At 42.1% G+C, this 23,579-nt stretch overlaps 1 protein-coding gene and 1 long non-coding RNA gene across 15 annotated transcripts in view; one reads left to right on the top strand and one right to left on the bottom strand.

Annotated features, from left to right (window-relative positions):
* Positions 1-23,579, top strand: part of PKP4 (plakophilin 4) — a 224,478-nt gene that overhangs the window by 186,637 nt on the left and 14,262 nt on the right. For 13 of the 14 annotated variants that reach the window (NM_001377220.1, NM_003628.6, NM_001005476.4 and 10 more), the window contains 5 exons: positions 14,543-14,726; positions 17,745-17,862; positions 19,309-19,500; positions 19,684-19,857; positions 22,825-22,975. In NM_001377220.1, coding sequence (NP_001364149.1) covers positions 14,543-14,726; positions 17,745-17,862; positions 19,309-19,500; positions 19,684-19,857; positions 22,825-22,975 — 819 coding nt within the window. Of the gene's footprint in view, positions 1-14,542; positions 14,727-17,744; positions 17,863-19,308; positions 19,501-19,683; positions 19,858-22,824; positions 23,077-23,579 lie in introns of those variants that run through there. The other variant, NM_001304971.2, reaches the window with a different exon arrangement.
* Positions 14,749-23,579, bottom strand: part of PKP4-AS1 (PKP4 antisense RNA 1) — a 76,666-nt gene continuing 67,835 nt past the window's right edge. Inside the window, exons 3-4 of the long non-coding RNA NR_135242.1 lie at positions 22,260-22,493; positions 14,749-18,162 (exon numbers count right to left, since the gene is read on the bottom strand). This is a non-coding gene — a long non-coding RNA (PKP4 antisense RNA 1). The remainder of the gene's footprint in view (positions 18,163-22,259; positions 22,494-23,579) is intronic.

The raw sequence follows: 23,579 nt of genomic DNA on the forward strand, positions 1-23,579 counted from the left end.
GTGGTTCCAGGTACTTGGGAGTCTGAAGTAGGGGGATCACTTAAGCCCAGGAGGTTGAGGCTGCACAGTGAGCCATGATCACACCACTGCACTCCAGCCTGGATGACAAGTGAGGCCCTGTTTCAAAAAAAAAAAAAAAAGAAAAGAAAACAAGGCCAGAGAGAGATAGAGTCTTCATTTAGGGAACTGTTTTTTTAGACGGAGTCTTGCTCTGTCACCCAGGCTGGGATGCAATGGCATGATCTGAGCTCACTGCAACCTCTGCCTCCCGGGTTCAAGCGATTCTCTCGCCTCAGCCTCCTGAGTAACTGGGATTACACACACGCGCCACCAAACCCAGCTAATTTTTGTATTTTTAGTAGAGATGGAGTCTCACCATGTTGGCCAGACTGGTCTCCAACTTCTGACCTCAGGTGATCCGCCCGCCTCAGCCTCTCAAAGTGCTGAGATTACAGGTGTGAGCCACTGCACCCCGCCCATTTAGGGAACTTTTATAAGGAACTTAATTGTGTCCCACATGCAGTAGGGACACTGGGGTATGGCATGGCCAGTTTAGGCCTTTAAATGCGTTCTTCCAGCAGGCAGCAGGGTAGAGGATTGATATGAAGTGGGAGAGCGTGGGAGGCCTATGAACAGACCAACAGTCTACTGATAACAGCTTGAACTATTTTAATGATGAAAAGGAAGAGTGGGGTGGAGCAGTCAGAGAAATATTTTGTGGTCTGGGCATGATGGTCGGAAGTGCGGAGTGAGAGAGAGGGAGAAGTGAGTAATGCCTGGATGTTGCAGTGCTAGTGGCTGGATTCAAGGATACTTGAGATTGAGCTGGAAGAATGGTTCTGCAGGAGGACACATTGATGACAGCATTGCTTGTAATAATAATTCAGGGAAAATACTAAGAGTTCATTGACAAAAGAATGGTTACATCAATGGCAGTACTCTCACACAGTGAAACCACATACAGCAGTTAAAATAAGCACAGTAGAATACACATAACAGATACATGCAGCTTTAGAAATACTTGCAGAATGATAACTACAGAGTAATACTATTTGAATAAAGTTTTTAAATATGTAGATTGATGTGGATATATGCACATGCAATAAAGTTAAAATTTCTAATTGGAATAATAAAAATAGATTCAGGATAGGGGTTACCTCTGTGAAGAGGAAGGAGGAAAATGGGACTGGGGGTTGTATTCCACCTCTGTTTCTTTAGAGAACTCTGAAATACATAAGACAAAATGTTAATATTTGACAAAGCTGGCATACCTGGGTGTTTGTTTTATATTTTCTTTGCCTTTTTTCATGCTTGAGATATTTAATTTAAAATTTTAAAACAACATTTCTTCAAAATTAATTTCATTCCCCCCAGGTTTCCACTGTGAAATCAGAGTTGTAGTTTCTGTAACACTTGGGAATGAATAAACTATCCTGCATCCAATATTTAAGGGGAATCAACTTTCTCATAAGATATTAATGTTCAAAATACAACATTAATATTCCCTTGTACTCTAAATAAAATACCAAAAGTAGAATATACGTTACAAATAATCATAAATCTGGAATGGACCATCTGCCTTAATGTATTTTGACTATTAATGCTTTAGCGCTTCTAAATTAGTACTCCCACTTTCTAAAATGCTTTTGAGGCATCTCACCAAAAAACAAATTATAATTATTTTTGTTTACGTGTACATGTAGATATAAAATGAAAATTAGAGCAAGCTAAACAGAATTAAGAAAAAATAAAAATGTAGCTATGTTCATCCTAGAAGTCAACACAGTCACTGTGATTACGCCCACAAATTTACCCTGAGCCTACTGTTAGGGAGGCATAGAGGAGACAGAATCATTTGCATTACATGAGTGCTTTCCTGCTTTGTCTGATGTTTCTCTTCCCATCACTTTGAACTTCCTGTGTCATGTCCAGTTGTCTTCCCATAGTAACACCGTGCAGCCAGGAGGGCTGCAGTCCATCGTGTGCGCTACTCCCTGAGAGAGCAGTGGCGATCCAGGGACAAATGACATGGAAAACACAGCTTCTCCTCAAATTTAACTAGCCAGATTCATCATGACTCGATCCTTACATCCTTAATGTGAAGCTTTTTCCTGCTCTTCTGTCCTCTCATAGGAGGAATGAGTCTTTTCTGAATTTCTGTTTGAGTTTTTTCCTTGGGAGAGACTATTACAGTGCCTTTCCTGAGCTGAGCTCAAGGAATTTGTAAGATTTAGTGTTAAACAGGAAGAAAAGTACATGATTGTGTGCTCTTTTTTTGTTTACATTTAAAAATAAGTCAAAATTACTTTAAGTAGAGCCCGACTTTACTACCAAGGGCTTTTATGTACTAGGTTACCTGGAGCACACTCTGGAATTGAGTGCTAATTTAGATGATTTCCTCCTTATTTTATAGAGAACATAAGATGTTTTAAGACATGGACCTTGGCCTTGAAAAGAGGATATAAGTGTTTTCTAATTCAGAAAGAGCTGTTTTCCTAATAGATCATATCAATCACTTCTAATGTAAAACTAAGAAGTACCTCTGATATTTGTCTTGAAAATATCTGCCGGTAGCTTTTAGGCTATAAGAAACAATTTTTTGCCATACTTATAGAGTAGGAGACATTAAGAATTGCTTTATAACTATATACTGTTACCACTAATCCTTTATTTTGACATGTGGACTGATTATCAAATGTTTTCTTCAAAACATTGAAATGAGAGTGGTCAGTGGGTAAACACTTCATGCAATTGCCATAAGTAAAGTAGGTTGGACCAGAAGACTTCAGAAATGAGTTCCCAGTTCAAAAAGCCAAATGGCAGCTGTGTTTGATTTATACCTAAACATTGTCTAACTAACATGAAACAAGTCACAATATAAATCTAGCATAGTTGCTTTTTTTGTGTGTGTACATGTATTTATAGTCTAAGCTTTATAGAGACAGCAAAATTGCTCACATTTCCCAGTCCTACAATTTAGTGGTACCAATCTTAACTGATGTTCAGTAATATTTTAAGGGTGATTGATCCTTGATACATATTAAAGCATGAAAACATCAAAAAATGCTTGAACTCTTCTTTCTTCTTTCATTAAATCTTCCTCACATCAAATGCTCAAGCCGTCTTTAATTGTAGCACAGGGTTGGGGGAGACCTCAGAACTCATTTTGTTCAGTCATCCATCCAGTGCATGAATCTCCTGTACAGTTTCCATACAAAGTAGCCGCCATCACATGCATGAACCCACAGCACAGGAAGCTCATTACCTGGTGGGGTTAAGTCTGGACAACAAGGTTATCCAGAAAGCAGCAAGAAGTTATCTGATATAACTTGAAAAGGCAAAAAATACAGACCCTCAGGAGGTCATTTTTGCATAGGAATGGCCCTACAAAAAGACCAGTTCCACCCTAGATCCAGCCACCAGCACTCCTAACCAAGGAAGTAAGCCCCCAGTCTGAACTGTCGTTAAAGCACGTCTGCTCTGAACTCAGGCTGAAGGTGCTGTGTGACCGTGTCACCCAGCATTCCCCATCAGGTGCCCATCTCCTATAAAGTCCCCTTTGAAAACAGAACATTAGCCTTAGATTTTAGTGTTCTGCTAGTATCATTCACAAATACCATGGCTAGCCTTGCACGGTGCTTGGCCTTTGTAGGTACGGTCCACACATTCCTAAGTGAAAATTATAGTCAACTTAGGATCATGAGATGTTAAAATACAGTGAACCATTGTGTTCCAAATATTATATAATTTGAAGAAACTACTATGCCCTTGAAACTAGGAATTCTTTGATTCTTAATATTAAGTAATTCAACCCAGTTATTAATCCAGTCTTTTTTTCTAGTTCCCTTTGTTTCAGTTTGGCAGTTTTTACTGTACTTAAGTGGAGAAATTTTAGCTGTTTTTTATAAAGATGCCTTGCCTTTGCTTTAAACACAATAACTGCCCAGGGCCTATATTTTTGGCCACATCTTTATTTTCAGAGGGAAAAAAGGACTTTTCTTCAAATGTATTTTCCCAAGACAATATGGCTGTCATTGTTAATTAAAATGGTTCTCTAGTATGTAACATGATTCTTGTGTTTTCCTCATTGTGTTGAACATTTTCCAGTTGAAACCTAATGAGCTTTTCTTTTAGTAAGTGCTGATATATGTGAGTGCTTAGGGTAATTTTTCTTTTATTCCAAAAGTATTTTTTGCTGTTGTTGTACTTAAACTTGAAAGCTGGATGAAGTATGGTTGTTCCCCAGTTTGGTTATAAAATGAATGTCTGCTAGGCCACAAAGTATGGAGGACAGATGGGAACATCTTGTCACTAAAAAAGATATGTTGAACTCATTTGTTCAAAATAATTAAATAGTGTTTCTAAGCTAGGAAACATGAGTTTCAAGTTATTGAGCCTCCTGAAAACATCATTTTTTAAAACTATAGACATTGAAGATATTGCACAAATCTGGAGGCCTGCTTTTTAATGTACGTACCAGATGTCCCCAACTGTCACACTTCTATTACCCTCTTAAATACCAAAAAGTAGCCTTTGTTCTTCGGTAATAATAGACTTTGTTCATATGACTGCTACATGTACATTTCTTCCAATTTAGTAAGTGATTATTCATCCATATAGCTAAGTAAAATATTTCCACTGTTTATTGTGAAATGTTTGGATGCCAGCAATGGATTCCAGACACTGCAGAACATGAAATGAAGTGTATTGTTTTCCTGATCATTAGCTCCATATTTTTAATTCGATGATAAATTAATAAGAAAATAATAGTTGTAACTAAGGAAGGGTAGATGGGCCAGGCTAAGGTTTAACAAAGGGCAGAACAGTCTGGCAAGAATTAGTCTTATATACTATAAAAAGCAGGAGCTTAGTGGACATGCCTTTTGGACGATTACTTGCCGTTACAGGATGAAAACAGTTTACGAAGCATGTCCCCTTAGCCTAATTAATATGCCTTCAAAACAGGTCATTTATGCTCTGGTCCAGAGAGGAGTCAGTCCTACTGTTATGGGCCACTAGGGCTGTTAGAAGCTATGTGGGTCATTTTTAGAAATCTAGCAACATCTCCTCCCAATTCCCAGCCCAAATCAGTAAGGATCCATGTCACTTGGTCCACTTTATAAAACATAGCTGGGTGCAGTGGCTCACACCTGTAATCCCCACACTTTGGGAGGCCAAGGAAGGCAAATCACTCGAGGTCAGGAGTTCAAGACCAGCCAGGCCAACATGGTGAAACCCCATCTCTACTAAAAATACAAAAATTAGCCAGGTGTGGTGGCACATGCCTGTAATCCAGCTACTAGAGAGTCTGAGGCAGGAAAATCGCTTGAGCCTGAAAGGCGGATGTTGCAGCGAGTCGACATCGCGCCACTGCACTCCAGCCTGGGCGACAGAGACTCTGTCTCAAAAAAATAAATGAAACAATCACAACAGAAACATTCCCTTATTCACTGAACATTTCAAACCCTGAAAATGTGTAATGAGAAATGACAAATTTTTAAAAGTTTAATTACTAAGAAGACAAAAAATGTCTATTATGAATAGACCAATTCTCAATTGGTAGAGAACTTTGAACTGGAAAGAACCCTAAAGAAATCTCCTGTCTACCCCTGTTATTACAGATTAGAAACCGAAGTCCAGGAAGGTTGAGCAGGCAAGTCTCCAGGCTGAGTTCCTGATGTCCAGGCTGGAGGTGTTTCTTCCCTGACCCTTCCCCTGCCTACCCTGGCCACTGAGAAGGGCTGAACAGGAGCTAAATCTGGAGGGTACAAATGTTATTTCCCTTGTTCTTTAAGATTACCACCAAAAAGGGAAAAGAAAAAAAGCCCCACAATAAACTACTCTCTGAATTTTACCCAGGACCATAGAGAAATATCCCTGAATTTCACCACTAGCACTATAATATCAAACTAGTGATCAAGTATAATCATAAAGCTTCAGTTTGCTTAGGAAGTCTATGAAACGTGATTTTAGGTCTTGCGTCTATTTCAAGATTTATAGTTTTGAGTATGAAAAGATTCAACCCTCTAAGTGGAATATGACCCTGTATTTTGAGTGTAGGCTTCCGAGTGCCAAGCACAAGGAGGCAGTCAAGTAGGGAGTCTCAGAAGGTCACTTATAAGACTTGGGTATTCAAACATCAGTCAGAGTGGAACTTCTCAGCAAAAGAGAGGCCCTGTAATAACATGCTCCCTCAGTTGACTAGACGTCCTACAAATGCAAGAAAGGTGGGAATATGGAGACCCCAGGCCAGGTCCTGCAAATGCTTTGCAGTTTCTGAGTATGATGCTCTATAGCTTGCAGCTGGAGGCACCTTTGTCTCTAAGCTTCTGCCAGCACCAGACAACTGGGTTGAAGATCTAGTGCAGTTACAGATGAGCAAGTGTGTTCCTGGAACATGTAGGTCAGCTGTGGAGTATATGACTTCAGTGACAGTTTCTTGGGCAAATCTCTATGATAGTGTAACTGTGACAGTATAAATGACCTAATTCTGTGTCACACTGAAATAACCTGCAGAACAAGGGTGGCCAGGGCCGCTGCCCCCACTGCCGTTTCTGCCCCAGAAGGATTCTCTAATTTCCTTTCATGTGACCTGTTCCCTTTTATTAGCTCTGCTTCAACAGAAGGAGCCACTCTGTGTGTCCCATATGGGCAATTCTCAGTCAGCATTTCTGAATTGTAAGCTTATTTATTTTCTGTAGAAATGCCTTTCCAGGGAACATAGAACTGTATAACTACATTATGTCATTAATCCTCAAAACATATCCAAGAAGTGGTAAAATTACCTAGAATAAAGAAGAATACATTAAAATGCAAATATGATTCTGTAAATGGATCTCTAAAAGTTGGTAGATCTTTTCAAAGGTGCTGTGATCCACCTTTATGCCTGCAAAATCGCAGAGACTCGGGCTAACCCTTATATTCTCTAAAGGCACTAAAGATCTATCTTGTCCCAACTGGGGACAAATTTCAGCAGCAGGAATGGTCACCTTCAACTGGAATATGCAGGCTGGGGCCCCTGTGTGCAGCCTCTGTGACCAGCCCAGTTCCTTACTTCCACACAGCTCCCTCCTAGGAAGCATCTTGCCCTCAGACCACCTGAGCACCCACTTCCCACTGCGCTGAAAGCTGAGATGGTGGTGTTCCGAGCACAGCTGGACCTGAGTGAGCTCCCCCGTGCCCCATGAGGATTATGCATCTGCTGTGCAGGAAATCCCAGAGAACACAGGGGTGAGCAAGGCAGGCCTGTCCACCACCTGCAGTGCTCTGTGCCAGGCAGCAGGGAGTGCAGCAACTGGCCTCTCATGCTTTGGGGCAGGAAGGAGAAAGCCTCAAGCCACACCTATAGACCAGGAGCCTCACTGCATGGAGGGGTCACTGCACAGGTTTCAGGAACTCTGCTCAGATAGTGGCATCTTAGAAACTCTGGGAATGGCTATATACCACCACAACTTGTTTTCCTCAGCATTTATCCAGAGAAAGGTATTTTTCTATAACTGAGGATAGTAGTTTTATCCCTGTCTCGTAATTGTTTTCCCACTATTTCAGTTTCACTTAGATTTCGTAATTTGTTGACAGCCTTCAGCCCTGTTAGAAAGCTTGGGCAATTGATTAGCCCAGCAGACAGTTTTATGGCACTGATTCTCCCCACCACCCCCTTGACTTCCTCATTTCTGTTAACAGTGCCATATTTTCACACGTATTCAAACTCCTGGCTTACCTGTGACACCACCCTCAGTTTGCATCTGGCTCCAAATTCTCACTACAGGCACTTCCCTTCCCTTTTGGCCTCCTCCCTCCTCCATCCTGTCCTGTGAAATAGGCTCTGCCCCTCCTAGCCCATTGGCCTCACCCCCTCCCTGGGATAACACCTGTGCCTGCAGTTCAGGTTTTCCCACCTGCCTGTCCAAATCAGTAGCTTCTGTGACCTCCTGCCAGCCAGCTCCAGCATGTGCCGTCACCTCTTCTGCTTCTTTCCCAGGCTATATATAGTTGGCCTGAAGAGCTCTGCACCCCAAACCTGCTTCTTTCTGGCCTCTGTCCTTGACACTGCAACTCAAATGTGGTCTCCCATCCTCCTGTCAAACACAAGTTCACACACTTTGAAAAACATCCAAGGAGAAGCGGCATGGTCTCGAGTGAGTGTGAGCTTTGGAGCCAGGTTGACTTGTTTCCTTCCAGCTCTGTGGCTCCAGACACATCACCACTGTCAAACCCCAGTGTCCCCGGCAATGACACATTACCTGCTGCTTGGTGTTTTTGTGATGATGTGTGTTGAGCTCCTGGCACACAGGATATTCAAGCCATACCTGTTGCTCTTCCTGCCCTTTGTCACAACTGCCTGGTGGTGTAACTGTTTGTGGTAAGGCCCCCCTGAGAACAGATGGCTCCCCTGTGTGTCTCCCTCGGAGTCTGGCATGAAGCAAGCAAGCATCTCTGCCAGCGCTGTTCAATAGGAGAATAATATGAGCTGCATATTTTCTACATTTTCTAGCAGCCATGGGAAATCTATTTTAGTAATGTATTTTATTTGGCCTAATAGTTTCAAAGTATTTCAACTTCTAAGAAATATAAAAATTATTAATATTTTGTGTTCACTTCTTCGTACCAAGTCTTCATAATCTGTTTTTTACTCAACAGTGCATCTCAGTTTGGACTAGCCATATTTCAAGTAGCCACATGTGGCTGATGGCCACCGTATGGGGCAGCACAGGTCTATACTGCATTTGGGTAGAGGTAACGTAAATGTCAAAGGTATGAGGTGTGTAACTTTAAGGCTGGCGGGAGGCCATATTGTAGCAGGATGTAGGTGCCATAGCATCTTGGCATTACTCTCGTCCCAAGAAAAAGCCGCAGAAGTTTATAAAAACCCATTGGGCTAAGGGGAGAACTTCAAGGGCAGCTGCATAGAGAAAGAAATGAAGATGTGTGTTTGCTAGATCCTGAGTGTTTCAGCCAGAGACTGTATAGGGAATGATAATGGAGGCATGTGCTAGGAGAAGCAGGCAAGGGCCGTGATACAATCTGCAGCCCTGATATTATTATGTTTGTGCTATTAATCTAATATTTCTACCCCCATTTTTCAAGAATGTTTGCAGGGTGGTTCCAGTGAGCCCATAGATGCAGAATAGCCAGGAGCTGGGGCAGGAGGTGGGGAGGATTACATAAGGAGCAGTGTTCCCCAGAGCTTCAACGGGAATGCACAGTCCTGTTAGCCACTGGTCATGACACTTGCTTTGTACTGGGAATGGAGTGGGGGTTGAGTGTGCACAAGACCTTAGCATCCATTATCTCCTTGATGGTTCCTCACACCCTGAGCCTGGGTAGTTTTACCTGCCTCCATCATGAACGTCTTGTGAAAGAGCACGACTAAAACCAGAGCACTCAGAGCGAGGTTCACTCAAGAAGGAAAATGCAGGGGCCTGTCCAGTGATGATGTTTGAAGCACACTGGCACCTTTATGGCTGTTGCTTTTTTGCTTTTGGCAATGTCTACAAACACTTGGGCTCTTTTTAATATAATTAGGAAACATGGCATAAATTGAATGCTGTCTAAAAATGAGTGGTTTAAGATTGTCTTTCATATCAAAAAGAAAAACAGTTGTATAGGCTGCCATGCATATCTGCCACCAGAGAAATCGCATTTTCCAAATGTTTTGTTTTTTTTAATATCCTTTAAGAAGTACATTTTTCAAATAGTTGCTATTATTTTAATTAATCAGTAAAATCAGCTTCTAATTTGACTATAAAATTATCAGTTCGCCATTAGAATAGCTATAAAGTTAGTTTTAAATGTGAGCTCTTTCAAAATTGTGCAGCATAGGATTTATGTGAAATGGTATTTTAATTACTTTATTCATTCTTTGTGAGGAAAATGAACTTTCATTTCTCATGGCAGTATTTCATTGTGATTATTGGTTACTCATAATTATATGTACTTGTTCCTGTGACAGGGAATAAGCAGCGTTTTCTACAATAATATGCATGAGACTCCCTAATATTTTCTAAATTAGTTTGTATGTTTATATTCTTAGTCCTCACAACAAATAGCTAATTGCTTTAAATTAAATAAAACCTCAAGCTTCCTCAACCAAATTCTAGTTTATTTTTAACTTTCCCTTTGAGAACCAGGAGATAATGGAGTATGGTGATAAATATTTTTGAAGCAAATTTTGCATTAGGATGTTGGAGTTAGAGGTTATCATGTTGATGGAGAAGGCTAATCCTACAGCTCTTCATTTTCTCATCAGTCTTACTACATCTGGGAGTTGGTGTATTCTCTATTCATTACTTACTGCCCTAGCAAGATTCTTCCTGACCCATTAAATGAAGCCCTAGACAAAGTGGAGAGAACATTGTTTTAGTGAGGTCGAGCACACACAGGTGTTATTAGCCGGTCTTAAGAGAGGTGCTTTTTACTTTGAGCAAAAAAGCCAAATTAATCATTTCATATCTAAGGCTTTTAAGTTTAATTAAATCTTTTTCATCCATTATTTATTGACTAGAGCTGGTTGTTTTGGCTTTATATAACCTTAGTTTTGGAATAGAAAGTGAGGAAGAAAAACCAGTCAAAATGGTGAGTTAAATCCATACCGAAGGTTGCAACTCTTTGTGTTACATGGTGAAGTGCAGGATTAGAGGATAATATAACACACAATGCAGGGTGATAAAGCTGCCTTTTGGTGGGTCCCTTGAACACCACATACTTAGCAAAAATAGAACCTTTCCTTTTTTCTGATCAAGAATAACTGTAAACATTTTTTTTTGGAAGTTGCAGAAATGAAAGCCTGAATTTCTATAGTAGGCTAGTGTTATGATCAATAAGTCATTTTAGTTGACTAAAAGATAGCATAGTCAACTTGTCTACTGAAGGGTAACATATTTTTTAACAACTTTATATTTTATAATTTGGCAGCACTGTTCCTTTCTATTTTGCACTTTGAGGGATGGGGATTCTGGCATGTTGGTGTGACTTTTCCGATTCTGGGAGATAGAATGGCAACTGGATTCTCCTATCCCCGTAACTAAGATGGTGGTTTCAGCAACCATCTGTTTTGGTCTCAATGTGAAAGGCAGGCAAAACTATGCTGACAAATTTTGTTAGAGATCCTCTCCCCCAGTTGCAAACTTAAAGGACACTCCTGAATACTCAGTTTTACAAAAAGGCACAAAGGGGAGGTAATAATAATAATACTTATAAGCCAAGTCTGATAGGTAGGAAATAAAAGAGAAATCTAAAAACAAATACAGGATATAAAAATAGATCCATCACAAATATTTTTGACCACCTACTATGTGTCCTGCATATGTGTCACACAACATATATATAAAAGGATGGATAATGATAGGGTATTTCTTCCTCATTATATAATACTTGCCTAATGAAATTAAAATTTAATTTCAGCATATAAATGTTCATCTTTTTTTAAAAAAAAATCAACATGTAGAATTTCAAACCTATAAAAATATTTAAAAGGGAAAGTTAATTAATTTTGTACAACTTGGCTTTTTAAGGTATTATATGTAAAGCACACAATGCCTGGCACAGAGTAAAGCCACAGTAAATGGTGATGCTACCATTGTTTACATTGATTTATGAATGTTTATGCTATGTCCAATCCCAAGTATATATACTGGCTAATACTAAGCTGTAGAATGACATACAACTCCATCAGTCATTCTGAATGCCTGGGAAGAAAAAGACAGAGCAGGACAAAATTCTACCACCAGCATGAAAATCAGGGAAATTCTCAAATCAGAGAAATATTCTCTTGCCAGAAGTAGGTGTTAGAAGTAGCTGGGAGTAGAGACAGAAACAACAAAAAAAAACAGGTTTTTCTGACTGCAATCAGAGAATTTCTAGGCATCAACTCCAGGATCCAATATGCTGAAAAACTACTCTTCTTCTTAGTCATGTTTTCACCTGAAGTTTGTGACACAGGTTGTTTAATTTTCTGTATATATATCCAATATTATAGTATGATATAGACTTTACTTTCCATAAACCTTGCCTTGCAGCTAACTTTACTGGAATGCATTTATTCTGTGAAGTTGAAAATATCCTATTGAAAAATGCAGCTCTCTGCCATGCATTGAGGAATTCGAAAGCTGTGACAGAAAATTTGTGCCAATGGCATTAGGAATCACATGTTATGAAACTGTCAGCAGGGGAGCTTAGGGAGTCACCCTTTTCCCACTGATGACTTCTGGGCTGCATGCTGCCACTGTGGCTGGCTTATGCTCCTGGAGGCCCCATCAGGGCCCAGCGTGACTATGGTTGGCCTCCCTAGCAGGAAATGTTAAAGCCCATGTTAGTGACAGAGTCTGTTGTCCTCTCCTGCTATGCCTTGACCCAACTCTGTCTTCTGTTTTCACTCCCTTGCCCTGTTATTTGGTCAGGACAGACTGCCAAAAAAAGTGTTTCTCATGCTTAGCTCCCGGATCCTTTCTGTGGTCGTCAGGCTTATCAAATGTCTTTTAGATTTGAAACAGAAACCCAATTAAGCCCAAAATTGAGCATAGATAATATGAAGCTGCTCTGAGTCAATTGAGGTGGGGATCTGGAGCCTTACGACCAATTCTTCCTCAGTTCCTCACATGGCTGCCCCTATGGGAGGCCAGCAAAACCCCCAGGATCCAGGGAGCACAGTTTAAAACCATTGCCCAAAAGCACTTTATATAGAAGCATGGCCAATTTTCTAAGAATCCGTGGAGAAATAGCTCCAACTGTAGAATTTAAGTTCTTTTCATAAGCACCCATAATGCGTGCTGCCTTCTAACGGGACCCTAGCTTTTGTGTACCCCAAGATAATTATATAAGCAAAGGTCTATCATGAACAGAAGAAAAGAAGAACAGAGCAAGCTTTTGGAAGTAAAGCAAGGTCTTTACTTGCCTGATTCAGAACTGTCTTAAGTCTCCCGCCCGTCCTGTGTCCTGAAGGCTGTAGTTATGGTGGAATAGGAGTAGAAAAGGGGTAAAAGTCCTTGGGGAACAAGGGAAACCAAATCAGCAAGGTCCAGAAGTCAAAGCCAAGTGAAAGAGGAGAGTTGTGGGCACAGGTGCAGAGCAGAACACAAGAGGAGGCCAGAGCACAAGCATCAGGTTCCAGTCCGACCATTCCCTCCACAGCACATGGACAGGCCTGGGAAGGGGCAGTCCTCACGCAGTTTAGAGTCAGAAGATTGTTTCACTCTCTTCACTTCTAGCCCTTGGCTTCTACATCCCCTTCCTCCACAAAGGAAGGAGCTCCTGTCTTCCTCCCCATACCACCCTCTTTTACAGGGGGCACCCAGAGAAGGCTGAGCAGGTGGTGTCCAGGCTGGCTTCTTGGGCCGTGACAGCTGGAGCAGCAGTGCTCAGTCTTGTCTCCGGGCCACGCTCTTGATCAGTCATGTTCACAAGCCTGACACGCTCCCATGGACATGGGCAGATTTTGCCACCCCTCCCTCTGCAAGGCCACAAACGTTTTTGTGTGTTGGTAGTTGTGAAAGCACTGTACAGACTCGAGCAACTTGCCAAGGGTATGTCAGGAGTGTAGGACTCTGGGGGGGACTTGAATGCAGAGAAAAACCAGCTGCACCATCTCTTCTCCACCTACTTTCCTCTTACTCAGGAAGATGCACTGATGTGAAAATGACATTAGGGTAGGTATCATCTCAAATTTGCTCCAATGTCTATGAGAGCAATTATTGGAAAACCTGTGCTATGATAATAATTTTAGCTACCTCATACTTGGTGCAAAAATTAAGGCCCTCTAATATCATTAAACAGAACTCTAATAAGCTCCATTTAAGATCTGTTATCCTGAAATCTTGATATGAATTACAATACAGGCGATTCTTAATTTATTGTTAGTTTCACCTATTTCCAAAAAGGAATGACAGTAACGTGTGTTTCTAAAGCACATGATAATAAAACTCTTAAAATTGAGATAGAAGTGTTTAAACCTTATCTAAGTAAGGTGGATGAAGCAAATATAACAAACATCCATGCCAGGAAAGTTACGGCAAGTGCTTTATTGAAGCTTGAGCTTTCTGATAGCAAAAGTAAGAAAAGGAAGCAGATGAAGAAAAACATGCCAGTCTTTCAAGAAAAAGAAATATTTTTCCAAGTACTAAATTCTAAAAATGGTTTGTCACACAGACATTAAATGTAAAATACAATGCAATGAATAGCAGTTTTGTAAAAATCACAGATGCATTATATTCAAGACCCCTGCTTGGATTGTGCCCCTCTCCCTTTGCAGAGTAACTAATTTGCTTTGCAAAATCCACAGTCACCTTGCCTAATAGATACAGAGGGTGTATAATATTCACCCTCTAAAATCCAAGAGGGTGAATATTAAGAATTTGTAATATGTTGTCGGAGGCTCATACCTTCACTCAAAACTCATTAGAGGTCTATTCCCACCCTGGTTGCAAATATAGGCCATAGATTAGGTTTGGAACAGACTGACTTCATATTAATTAGAGCTAATACGTTTATTTTATTTCTAAAGCCACAGGATCTCTATTTGTTTGATTTTTTAAATCTCCTTTTTTAGGAGTTCTTTGGAATTTATCCTCATGTGATGCTGTAAAAATGACAATCATTCGAGATGCTCTCTCAACCTTAACAAACACTGTGATTGTTCCACATTCTGGATGGAATAACTCTTCTTTTGATGATGATCATAAAATTAAATTTCAGACTTCACTAGTTCTGCGTAACACGACAGGTTGCCTAAGGTAAATTCTTTATTTCTTCTTTCCAGTTAATTCTGTGATTAAATATGTGTCATAGGTAAATTGATTTTAGGAGGACTTACTTTATTAACATCTATCTAAGTTTCCAGTTTTTATTTCAAAATTTAGGCCACTGGACTTTGTTATTCTGGGAGAAAAACATCGTGAGCACAGACTTGTGGCCTTAAAGAAGTTATCTTGTAAATGACTCTTCTGTGACTTACTCAGAAAGGCCCTTTCAGTCTAAGATTACTGCCAAAATTCCAGTGTTTTCCACTTTAACAGCATTTTTCTGGTAATCGCATTCTGATTGCTAATGTGTTTGCAGCCTGCTGTTTGTTTAAATTCAAAATGTGATGGTTAAAACCATTTTGCTTTTAAAGAGGTGTGTGATTTAAACAATCAGTTTCAAGTTGTATAAATAAGTGAAAATGAGCCCAAATACTTTTTTAGTCATTATCTTTTACAGTTAAAATCTATATATAAAGCCTCTTTCGAGTGTGCACAGTAGAGTTCATTATTTGCCCTTAACACTCATCAGCTCCATTTTGACCCTATTTCCCAGCCTTACAGTACCCTGGGAACTGGAAGCAAGCCTTAGGGCAGAGTGGCACAGGGACAGAGAGAGTGGGCTCTGGTCTCAGACCACCTGGCTTCCAGGACCCGTTTGAGCCTCCGTTTCCTCATCTGTAGAATAGGGATGATAATACCACCTCAGAGCTGTGAGGGGTCAGCAGGTACTTGTGGAAGGTGCTTAGCACAGTGTCATCGCATGAGCACTCAGTGAGTGCTGTTTAACATCTAGCATCACCAAGACAGGCAGCCTGAAAGAGAGCAAAGCTTGTGTGGCTGGTCTGCAGCCTTCTAGCATTGAGACAGGTGGCTATCGGCCCTGGTCAGGGGGCAGTGTTGGTGGGGAGGTAACAAGAGTCAGGATCCCAGAATGCAGGCCAGCTCCTCCTAATTCAGATGCCCACATCTCAGGGTGGGTCTCATGGCCTAGCAATCATCCAGGGAGCTAGGATTACTCCTCAGCCAGCCAGCTAGGCTTCAGGGAGAGCCTGGGGCAGGACTCACTGTAGCTCCCCCAGTGGGTCAGGGATAGAAACATTTGGTGAATGCCCTCTGTGTGAAACCAGTGACGAATAAAACAGACTAGATCCCTGCTCTGATGGAACCACATTCTACCAGGAAGACAGACAAACAAGGAAACAAGAAAATAACAGTAGGTGCCATAAAAACAAATAGGGTGATGTGAGGGTTATTGAATGGTTACTTTGGTGGTCAGGGGGTCTCTCAAGGAGTTTAAATTTAAGCCTACATCTGAAATACCACAAGGAGTGACTCACTAGAGGGTGGTGTTGGGGAAGACAAGAGTCATAGGCCAGTCAAGGAAATGGTTAAGGTAAAGGTTCTGGAGCAGAAATGAGCTTGCAGCCGTAGCCTACTGAGCAAAGGGCAGAGTGGTACCAGATTATATAGGATTTTGTAAGTCAGATGGGGTTTGCATTTTATTCCAAGTGCCATGGGAAACCATCAGAGTGTTCTAAGCAGTGGAGTAGTGGGCCTCATTTCTGGCTGCAGTGTGGAGGAGTGAGTACAGGCAGAAGTAGAGACAGGAACATCAGACTGTTGCAGAGATCCAGGCAAACAGTGAGAGTGGCCTAAACCAGGTGCTGGGGTGAGGTAGGCAGATTTGGGTTATTTTGTGGAGGAAGAGCTGACAAGGCTTGCTAATAGATCGAATATTAAGAGCGAGGAAAGGGGGGAAATAAGGATACACCTAGATCTTTGGCTGGATCAGCTGCAAGCACAGAAGTGCTGTTGATGGGGGGAAGGGACAGGAATGCTTGGAAGGGTGAGCAGCTCAGAGTTTTGACAATGTCCAGTTTGAGAAGTCTAATTAGCTGTCTATGTGCCAGTGTCAAGAAAGCATTGGAGAAAAGAATCCGCAATTCTAGAGAGCAGTCAGGGCTAAAGGCAGATGTGTGCCAACCTATGGCCCTGTGTCCATAGGTTGTATTAAAGACAAGGAGCAGAAGGCACCTTGGAGAGTGCAAAGATGAAGACAAGACAGGACCTGGGGCACTCCTGGAGGTGCCCATGGGCAGATGAGTCTGAGAAGTAGCAAGGTGAGAGAGAAGCCAGGTGGGGTCCCAGAAGCTGTGGAGAAAAGGAAAGTGCTGCGGAGAGGCAGGGCAGATGAGAGCCGCCATTCCACCGCCCCCTCATCTAGTCACAGTTTTGCAAATTCTCAATTTGCATAATTTTACAGTTAGCCTAGAACCATTGTTAATGGGACATAAAATAGATCCTTATTTGGTATCAATTTATGAAGGCAAATTGATATAAAAAAATTTAGACACAAAACCGTTTTCTGGGTGTTTTATAATTGAAAAGATCAGAAAAGTTTTAGCATAAGCAAATATCTATATTTAACTTGAAATGTTTATAATACAAGAAATTATATGTTTCCTCTGTTCATCCAAAAAACATTTAATGACCACCTACTTACTGCACGCAAAATATTATAATAGGCCCAGGGGACTGCAAGAAGCTTCTGGCCTAACAAGGGAGGTGAAGCATGTCTAGTAGTAGCCACCACCATGACTGACAGCAGGCCACCTTCTGGGAAGGAGGCACTTTTCTAATTGCTTTCTATGTAGCAACTCGTTTCTTCTTCACAGCAACCCTGTGAGGTAGTTACTGTTATTTTCCCCCTTTTACATATGAAGAACCTCAGGAGAATAGGCCCCTAAAGAATTATATGAGGGAATTAGAAAGTGACACGTCATGAGAGAGATACAGTCCAAATGTGCAGGTTCCCTTCCATGTGTGGATAATGGGGAGCGGGCCATCATTGTGAGCTTCAGGATGTTACCATGCAAGCCCCCAGTGCCTCCTCCGACCTCTAAGTGGCTGCCACCTGTTGTTCGCTCTCTCAGATCCTTAAGGTTAAGTCCACGTGGCTGATGAGTGCATGGTTCATCTCAGCAGCTCCTCCTGTCTCCACCCCTTTAGGAACCTCAGCTCCGCGGGGGAAGAAGCTCGGAAGCAAATGCGGTCCTGCGAGGGGCTGGTAGACTCACTGTTGTATGTGATCCACACGTGTGTGAACACATCCGATTACGACAGCAAGGTCAGTGCCGGCCTGGTTGCAGGAGGGCGTGGTGGCAGGTGACCATGATGCCTGGTGCCACTATTTGCATGCCATTGGTTCTTTCTGACCTGCGGATCCTGTCCTCCTCAGGAGGCCACTCTCCAGATCAAAGGGCAAGTCTCCAAAGTTACAGGGGCAAGGACGTGGCAACTTAAGAAAATATCCTGAGAACCGTGAGAACAGAGTGGCTTGGTGTGGTAAAGGCTTTCTCTCTGGTTCCCCTAGGCTCATTCTCAGGGTGGTGCCCATGCTGCTATTTCCTCCAATTCTGTATCCGCACTAGAATCAGAGCCATCAGTATTTGAGTATCTACTGACTAAAAGTTCCTGGTTGAGGCACTGTAATCCCCCCAAACTCTCTGCCCTCCTGGCTGCAGTGCAGTCCACAGTCCCCACCCCCAGCACTAACTGTTGTTGCACCTCTCTACACCCCCTCCTGCTGCTGCTGCCTGTGGTTGGTCTGTCCCCAGCATGAGCCCCTTACCCTCTCCCTCCTGTGCCCGAGTACAGGGCATTCTGCTCATCATTTGTCAGCTGTGACGACCATCCAGGATCCTCCTGGGGGCCGAGGAAAGTGGAAAGAACAGGAAAGAGGGACTGAAAGTGTCAGGACTTCCAAAGCGGGCCAGTTACTTGGTGTCAGGATGGACTGGACTAGGAGAGGCCATTGGAAGGTGTTGGATTGTAAGGGTGAGCCTGAGAGAAAAAAGGATGAAGAGTGCCTGGGAGAAGAGAGAGGAATGCAAGGGAACAGCCAGTTTTTGAGCCTTATTGAACCAGGAGATCTGCAGATGAAATTGAGAGGAGTAAGCAAGTTGGAAAGGGAAGCTTGCTAGATAGACAAATGCTGAACTTGGTTTTAGACACTCAAACACTCAGTTAAATGACAGTTGGCCTCCCAATCAGAGGTGTGATGCAGTCTTTTAGGGAACAAAAGACCATGTACAGAAGGCAAATGTCAGCAGGGAAAGACACCGCTGAACATGGCTCAAAAGGAGGGTGGAGTTGGGAGATTGAGAAGGAGGCAGACATGGGACTTGGGGATATAGTTGTCCCCAGGGAGGGAGTTGGGGCATCTGTTGTCACGCCAAGGATCTGCAGTAGTGAGAAGTGAGGCTCAAGCATCATGGGTGCAGTCTGCACGGCAGCAGCCCTGAAGAGAAACACTGGGCCGGAGCCTCAAGCATTTCGGTCGGCATGAAGTCAAATCCTCAGCAGGACTGAGAAGGGCTCTGCATCCTGTCATCTGGGTATTCCACAAACACTCTAGAATCATAATTCTCTCTTCAGATTGTTTCAAGTTCTCATAAATAAAAAGTAGTTCTTTCATATTTCCCATTTATTTCCTGTCTGTAGTGTTCAGTACAGAAGTGTTTTGCTCTAATGTGCCGAGTTGTTTTTAATTATACGCCATGCTGGGTTTCAGACGGTGGAGAACTGCGTGTGCACCCTGAGGAACCTGTCCTATCGGCTGGAGCTGGAGGTGCCCCAGGCCCGGTTACTGGGACTGAACGAATTGGATGACTTACTAGGAAAAGAGTCTCCCAGCAAAGACTCTGAGCCAAGTTGCTGGGGGAAGAAGAAGAAAAAGAAAAAGAGGACTCCGCAAGAAGATCAAGTTAGCATTTTATTTTATATGAGACTCTCAAGTTTAATTTTTCTGGGAGTGAGGAATCACATATTTGGCAAGAAAATAAATTTTCTGCATAGCTATAGCTGAGTCCCGCAAAGGTGAATGTTTTCAAGTATTGGAGATCATGTTCATTCTGCCTCCATTTAACGTGTGCTGTTTGTCTTTCAGTGGGATGGAGTTGGTCCTATCCCAGGACTGTCGAAGTCCCCCAAAGGGGTTGAGATGCTGTGGCACCCATCGGTGGTAAAACCATATCTGACTCTTCTAGCAGAAAGTTCCAACCCAGCCACCTTGGAAGGCTCTGCAGGGTCTCTCCAGAACCTCTCTGCTGGCAACTGGAAGGTAGGATGACTTCCACTTATCTACACTTCTTTCCATCTTTGCAAACTAACTTGAAATGTTATATATATATGTTCTGCCTCAGTCAGATCAGCCCTGATGGTGAAAGGGTCACAGCTACTTAGCTTGTGTGTGAAGGGGTTAAAGGGAAAAAAGGGAGACAAGCAGTTGCTCTGGGGATACAAAGATAAATACAAGTCCCTCACTATGAGAAACAGAAGGCTAGTGAGAAAAACAGATGGTGCCAGCACAGTGTAGAAGCCACAGGATGTATGTGCTGTGGGGTCCTGAAAGAAGACATCTAACCCAGCCACACAGTGTAAGGGAAGGTCAGGAAAAGAGCGGAGTAAGGACGTGGAGGAGATTTCCTGAAGGGGATGCTGCCCGGCAGAATCTCTGAAGATGAGTGAAAGTAAGCCTGTAGAGGCTGAGGCTGTGGTATGGAAGGAGCCATCCAGATAACAGGGACAACAGGAGGAGGACAGTCTTGTGGTGCAGAGAAGACGTGTGGGCCAGGACTACTGGCTGCCCACTGGGGCCCACCATGGAGCCAGGCATCATGGATAGGCCTGAAGGCCAAACTTCAGGAGCTGAATCCTAACCTACACACAGGAGGGACTACCGAAAGAGTCTGGGCAGATGAGTGACAGAGACGGGCTAATATCATCACTGCTCCCCCACTTCCATGGCAGTGCAAAAGGTGGATTCGAGGAAGGGAGAGTTAGAAGCAGGGATTGGATTTGGGAGCCAGTGCAGCAATACAAAGGTGAGAAATCTTGAGTGGCAGGACAGAACACAGGTTGGGCAGCACTGTGGGGAGGGATAGAGGACCTCTGTTCCTCTCAGACCGTTACAGACATGCCTGTGTCTAAGGTTTCTGCATCTTTTTGCAAATGTATGAGTATGAAAACTGAAGACAGTTTCCTTTTGTTACCACTGTAAGCAAGTTCTCAGAACTTTCTAAATGTCCCCCAGCAACTTCCCAGACAGTCCTTGTCTGAGACATTTTCAACCTCTAGTAATTTCTTGACAGGTGTATTTTAGTAGAGTTACTACAATGCTTGCTGTGGGCTTCTTCCCCCACCTTAACCCCCCAAAATGAGAATCTTTTGGTGATGGTGTTTTCAAGATAGTGAAAAGCATTGATAAGCCTAGGTATGGTTTGTTTCGTGCACGTGGCCACTATGTTGAATATAGAGCGATAACTATGGTCTAGTGCTAAGCCGGTGTGGTTATTTTGTTGTGGCTCCTAGTTAAAGTGCCAGTGACTGAGTGTGTAAGTGCTGGCTCTGAATCCAGGCCACTCTGCTTACCGTCTGGCAGCCTAGGGGCTCTGCCCACAGTTTCCACCTCCCTAAAATAAAGTGAATATTAATACCTGCCTTATAAAGTGGTTATGAGGATTTAGTGAGATACTCCCAGCACATAAGTATTTATAAACATTTATGTTGTAGAACAGCGTTCACCTTCAGCTTCTGTGACCAGAGGATCATTTGATGATAATAAAAGACAGTAATTGAAATCGATGTGATTTGACTTATTTAGAAGTTCATGTCTGGGATCATTTAGTGAGAGAGTTAGATGGCAAAGCTCATTTAAAATATAAACATTATATCTAAGCGATTTCAATAGTGAGTTAAAATATTGGACCTTCACTAAGAAAATGAGATAATCGTGGCCACAGATGTTATCAAGTAAGAAGCTATTTCAGGAGCAGTGATGACTGTAGTTCTCCAGAAGGGAGACGGGCTGGGCTGGGCTGGGCTGGTAGGTCTCCAAGTGAGACAGAAGGAGATGGTTCTGTTGTTGCAGGTTTCAGAGAGAAGTTCATAAAACTGCCTGAGTGCTTTGCCTAGTAACCAGTCATGTACTTCATTTTCCCCCCATAGATTTCATGTGATTTGAAAAATAGGAGTATGCATTTCATATGCAGAATATAAATAGGATCTTTGAAATGCATCTTTCCCTCTTATTTGTATTATTAAAATATTCTGTTGGTATTCAAGAAACTGGATGGTCAATCACATATTTTAATGTTCGAAATAATACAAAGGGCTGGTAGATCTCTGTCCTACTGTCTTGGTCACAGCAGGAAAGTATATGTTTTATGAGCAGCATCTTTCAATTACCCTAAAATTTGAAAGATGATTTGCATTGGTTGAAAAAGTCAATTAAAGCTCAAAGCTGGAAACAAGATTAAAGAACCGTTTTCTAACGTTACTCTTTTTGGTTGTTTCACTGATGACTTAGCGCTCATTTCCATTTTATAAGATATACAAACTGACTCACAGTACAGAGTTGCTTCATAGTCACAGAAAAATTTCTTGACTATGGATTTTTAAAAAACAGCATCAGCAGCTAACTAATCTTGAGTGAGAATGCATTTTGCACACAAATATACTTACTTTTTCACCAGGCTGTATGAATTATGATGCTGGATGTTTCTGGAGATTTCCCTTTCTTCTGAGGCAAGGGATTTTTCCAACTAATCTCTTTGACAGGTTTCTGAACTCGAAATATTGTTGCAGGGAATATAGAAAAAAAATGACTTGATGGAGACAGGTTCTCCTTTCATGTGTGCTGATGGGTTACTGTCTCTGCCATCCTATTTATAGCCTCTGGGTTTGGCAGGGGACCAACTGCAAAGAAAACACACGATCCTTCCTTAATCATGTTTATGTATCTGAGATAGAAAGTAATCACTGCCTTCTCTTTTCTGCACAAAAATATCTGGCAGATGGTGGTTTGAGATTTTCAGGCTTTGGGATTTCTTTTTAAATCAGTCATTCCAGCCTATCTTTCTCCCCAACTTTGGTTTTCTCTTCACTGACACCACAGATTTGATCTTCAATTGGAAAGAAACCATTTAATCTATTAGTTCATCTTTTGGAAACATCTTTTTTAGGTGACAGTAACATATGAGACTGGAACTCTGTTTTATGTTACTTCCTGCCTTATTTTTCTCACTAGTTTGCAGCATATATCCGGGCGGCCGTCCGAAAAGAAAAGGGGCTCCCCATCCTTGTGGAGCTTCTGAGAATGGATAACGATAGAGTTGTTTCTTCCGTGGCAACAGCCTTGAGGAATATGGCACTAGATGTTCGCAACAAGGAGCTCATAGGTATGTTCTGGTGACAAGATGAGCTGTAAATGTGAGAGCAGCTACAAAATTCATGAAACTCTTCTTTTGATTAATAAATATATGGCTTGTAAAATCATTAACAGCTGAGCCCTAGTCTCCAGTTTCTTGGCATATTTGAGTACTCCTGTTTTGTGACCATTCTTTTTCAGCAGGAGGCAAGCTCATTAATTAGTCATTGATTAGGGAAGGTAAATTTTCAGAAAGGCCAGCAATTTTAGTTGTACCTTACAACACTAGTAGGGTTAATGTCTCTCATTTCTAAGAGAGTTCTCTATATCCTGAGCAACAAAAAATCTTAATCTCCCTTTCCAATTTTTGGACTGCTACCTGCTAATTCACCAACACTACCATACTCTAAATAAAAAATCACATGAATGTTTTGTAGCTTTCCCCTCTCACATTGGTATAAATCTTTATCCCAGAGAAGAACCACTGTCCCAACATCATTTCCACCCTGGGCAGGGGCAGGACTAGGGTGAGCTAAGCAAGGCGCCAAAGGCACAACATTTTAGGAGGCCTTTACTCTCAGGTTTGTACAAGGTAGGGTTGGCACATGCACAAACCAAACAGTGAGGACCTCTGT

Source organism: Homo sapiens, chromosome 2 (assembly GCF_000001405.40).
Source record: "Homo sapiens chromosome 2, GRCh38.p14 Primary Assembly".
NCBI lineage: Eukaryota > Metazoa > Chordata > Mammalia > Primates > Hominidae > Homo > Homo sapiens.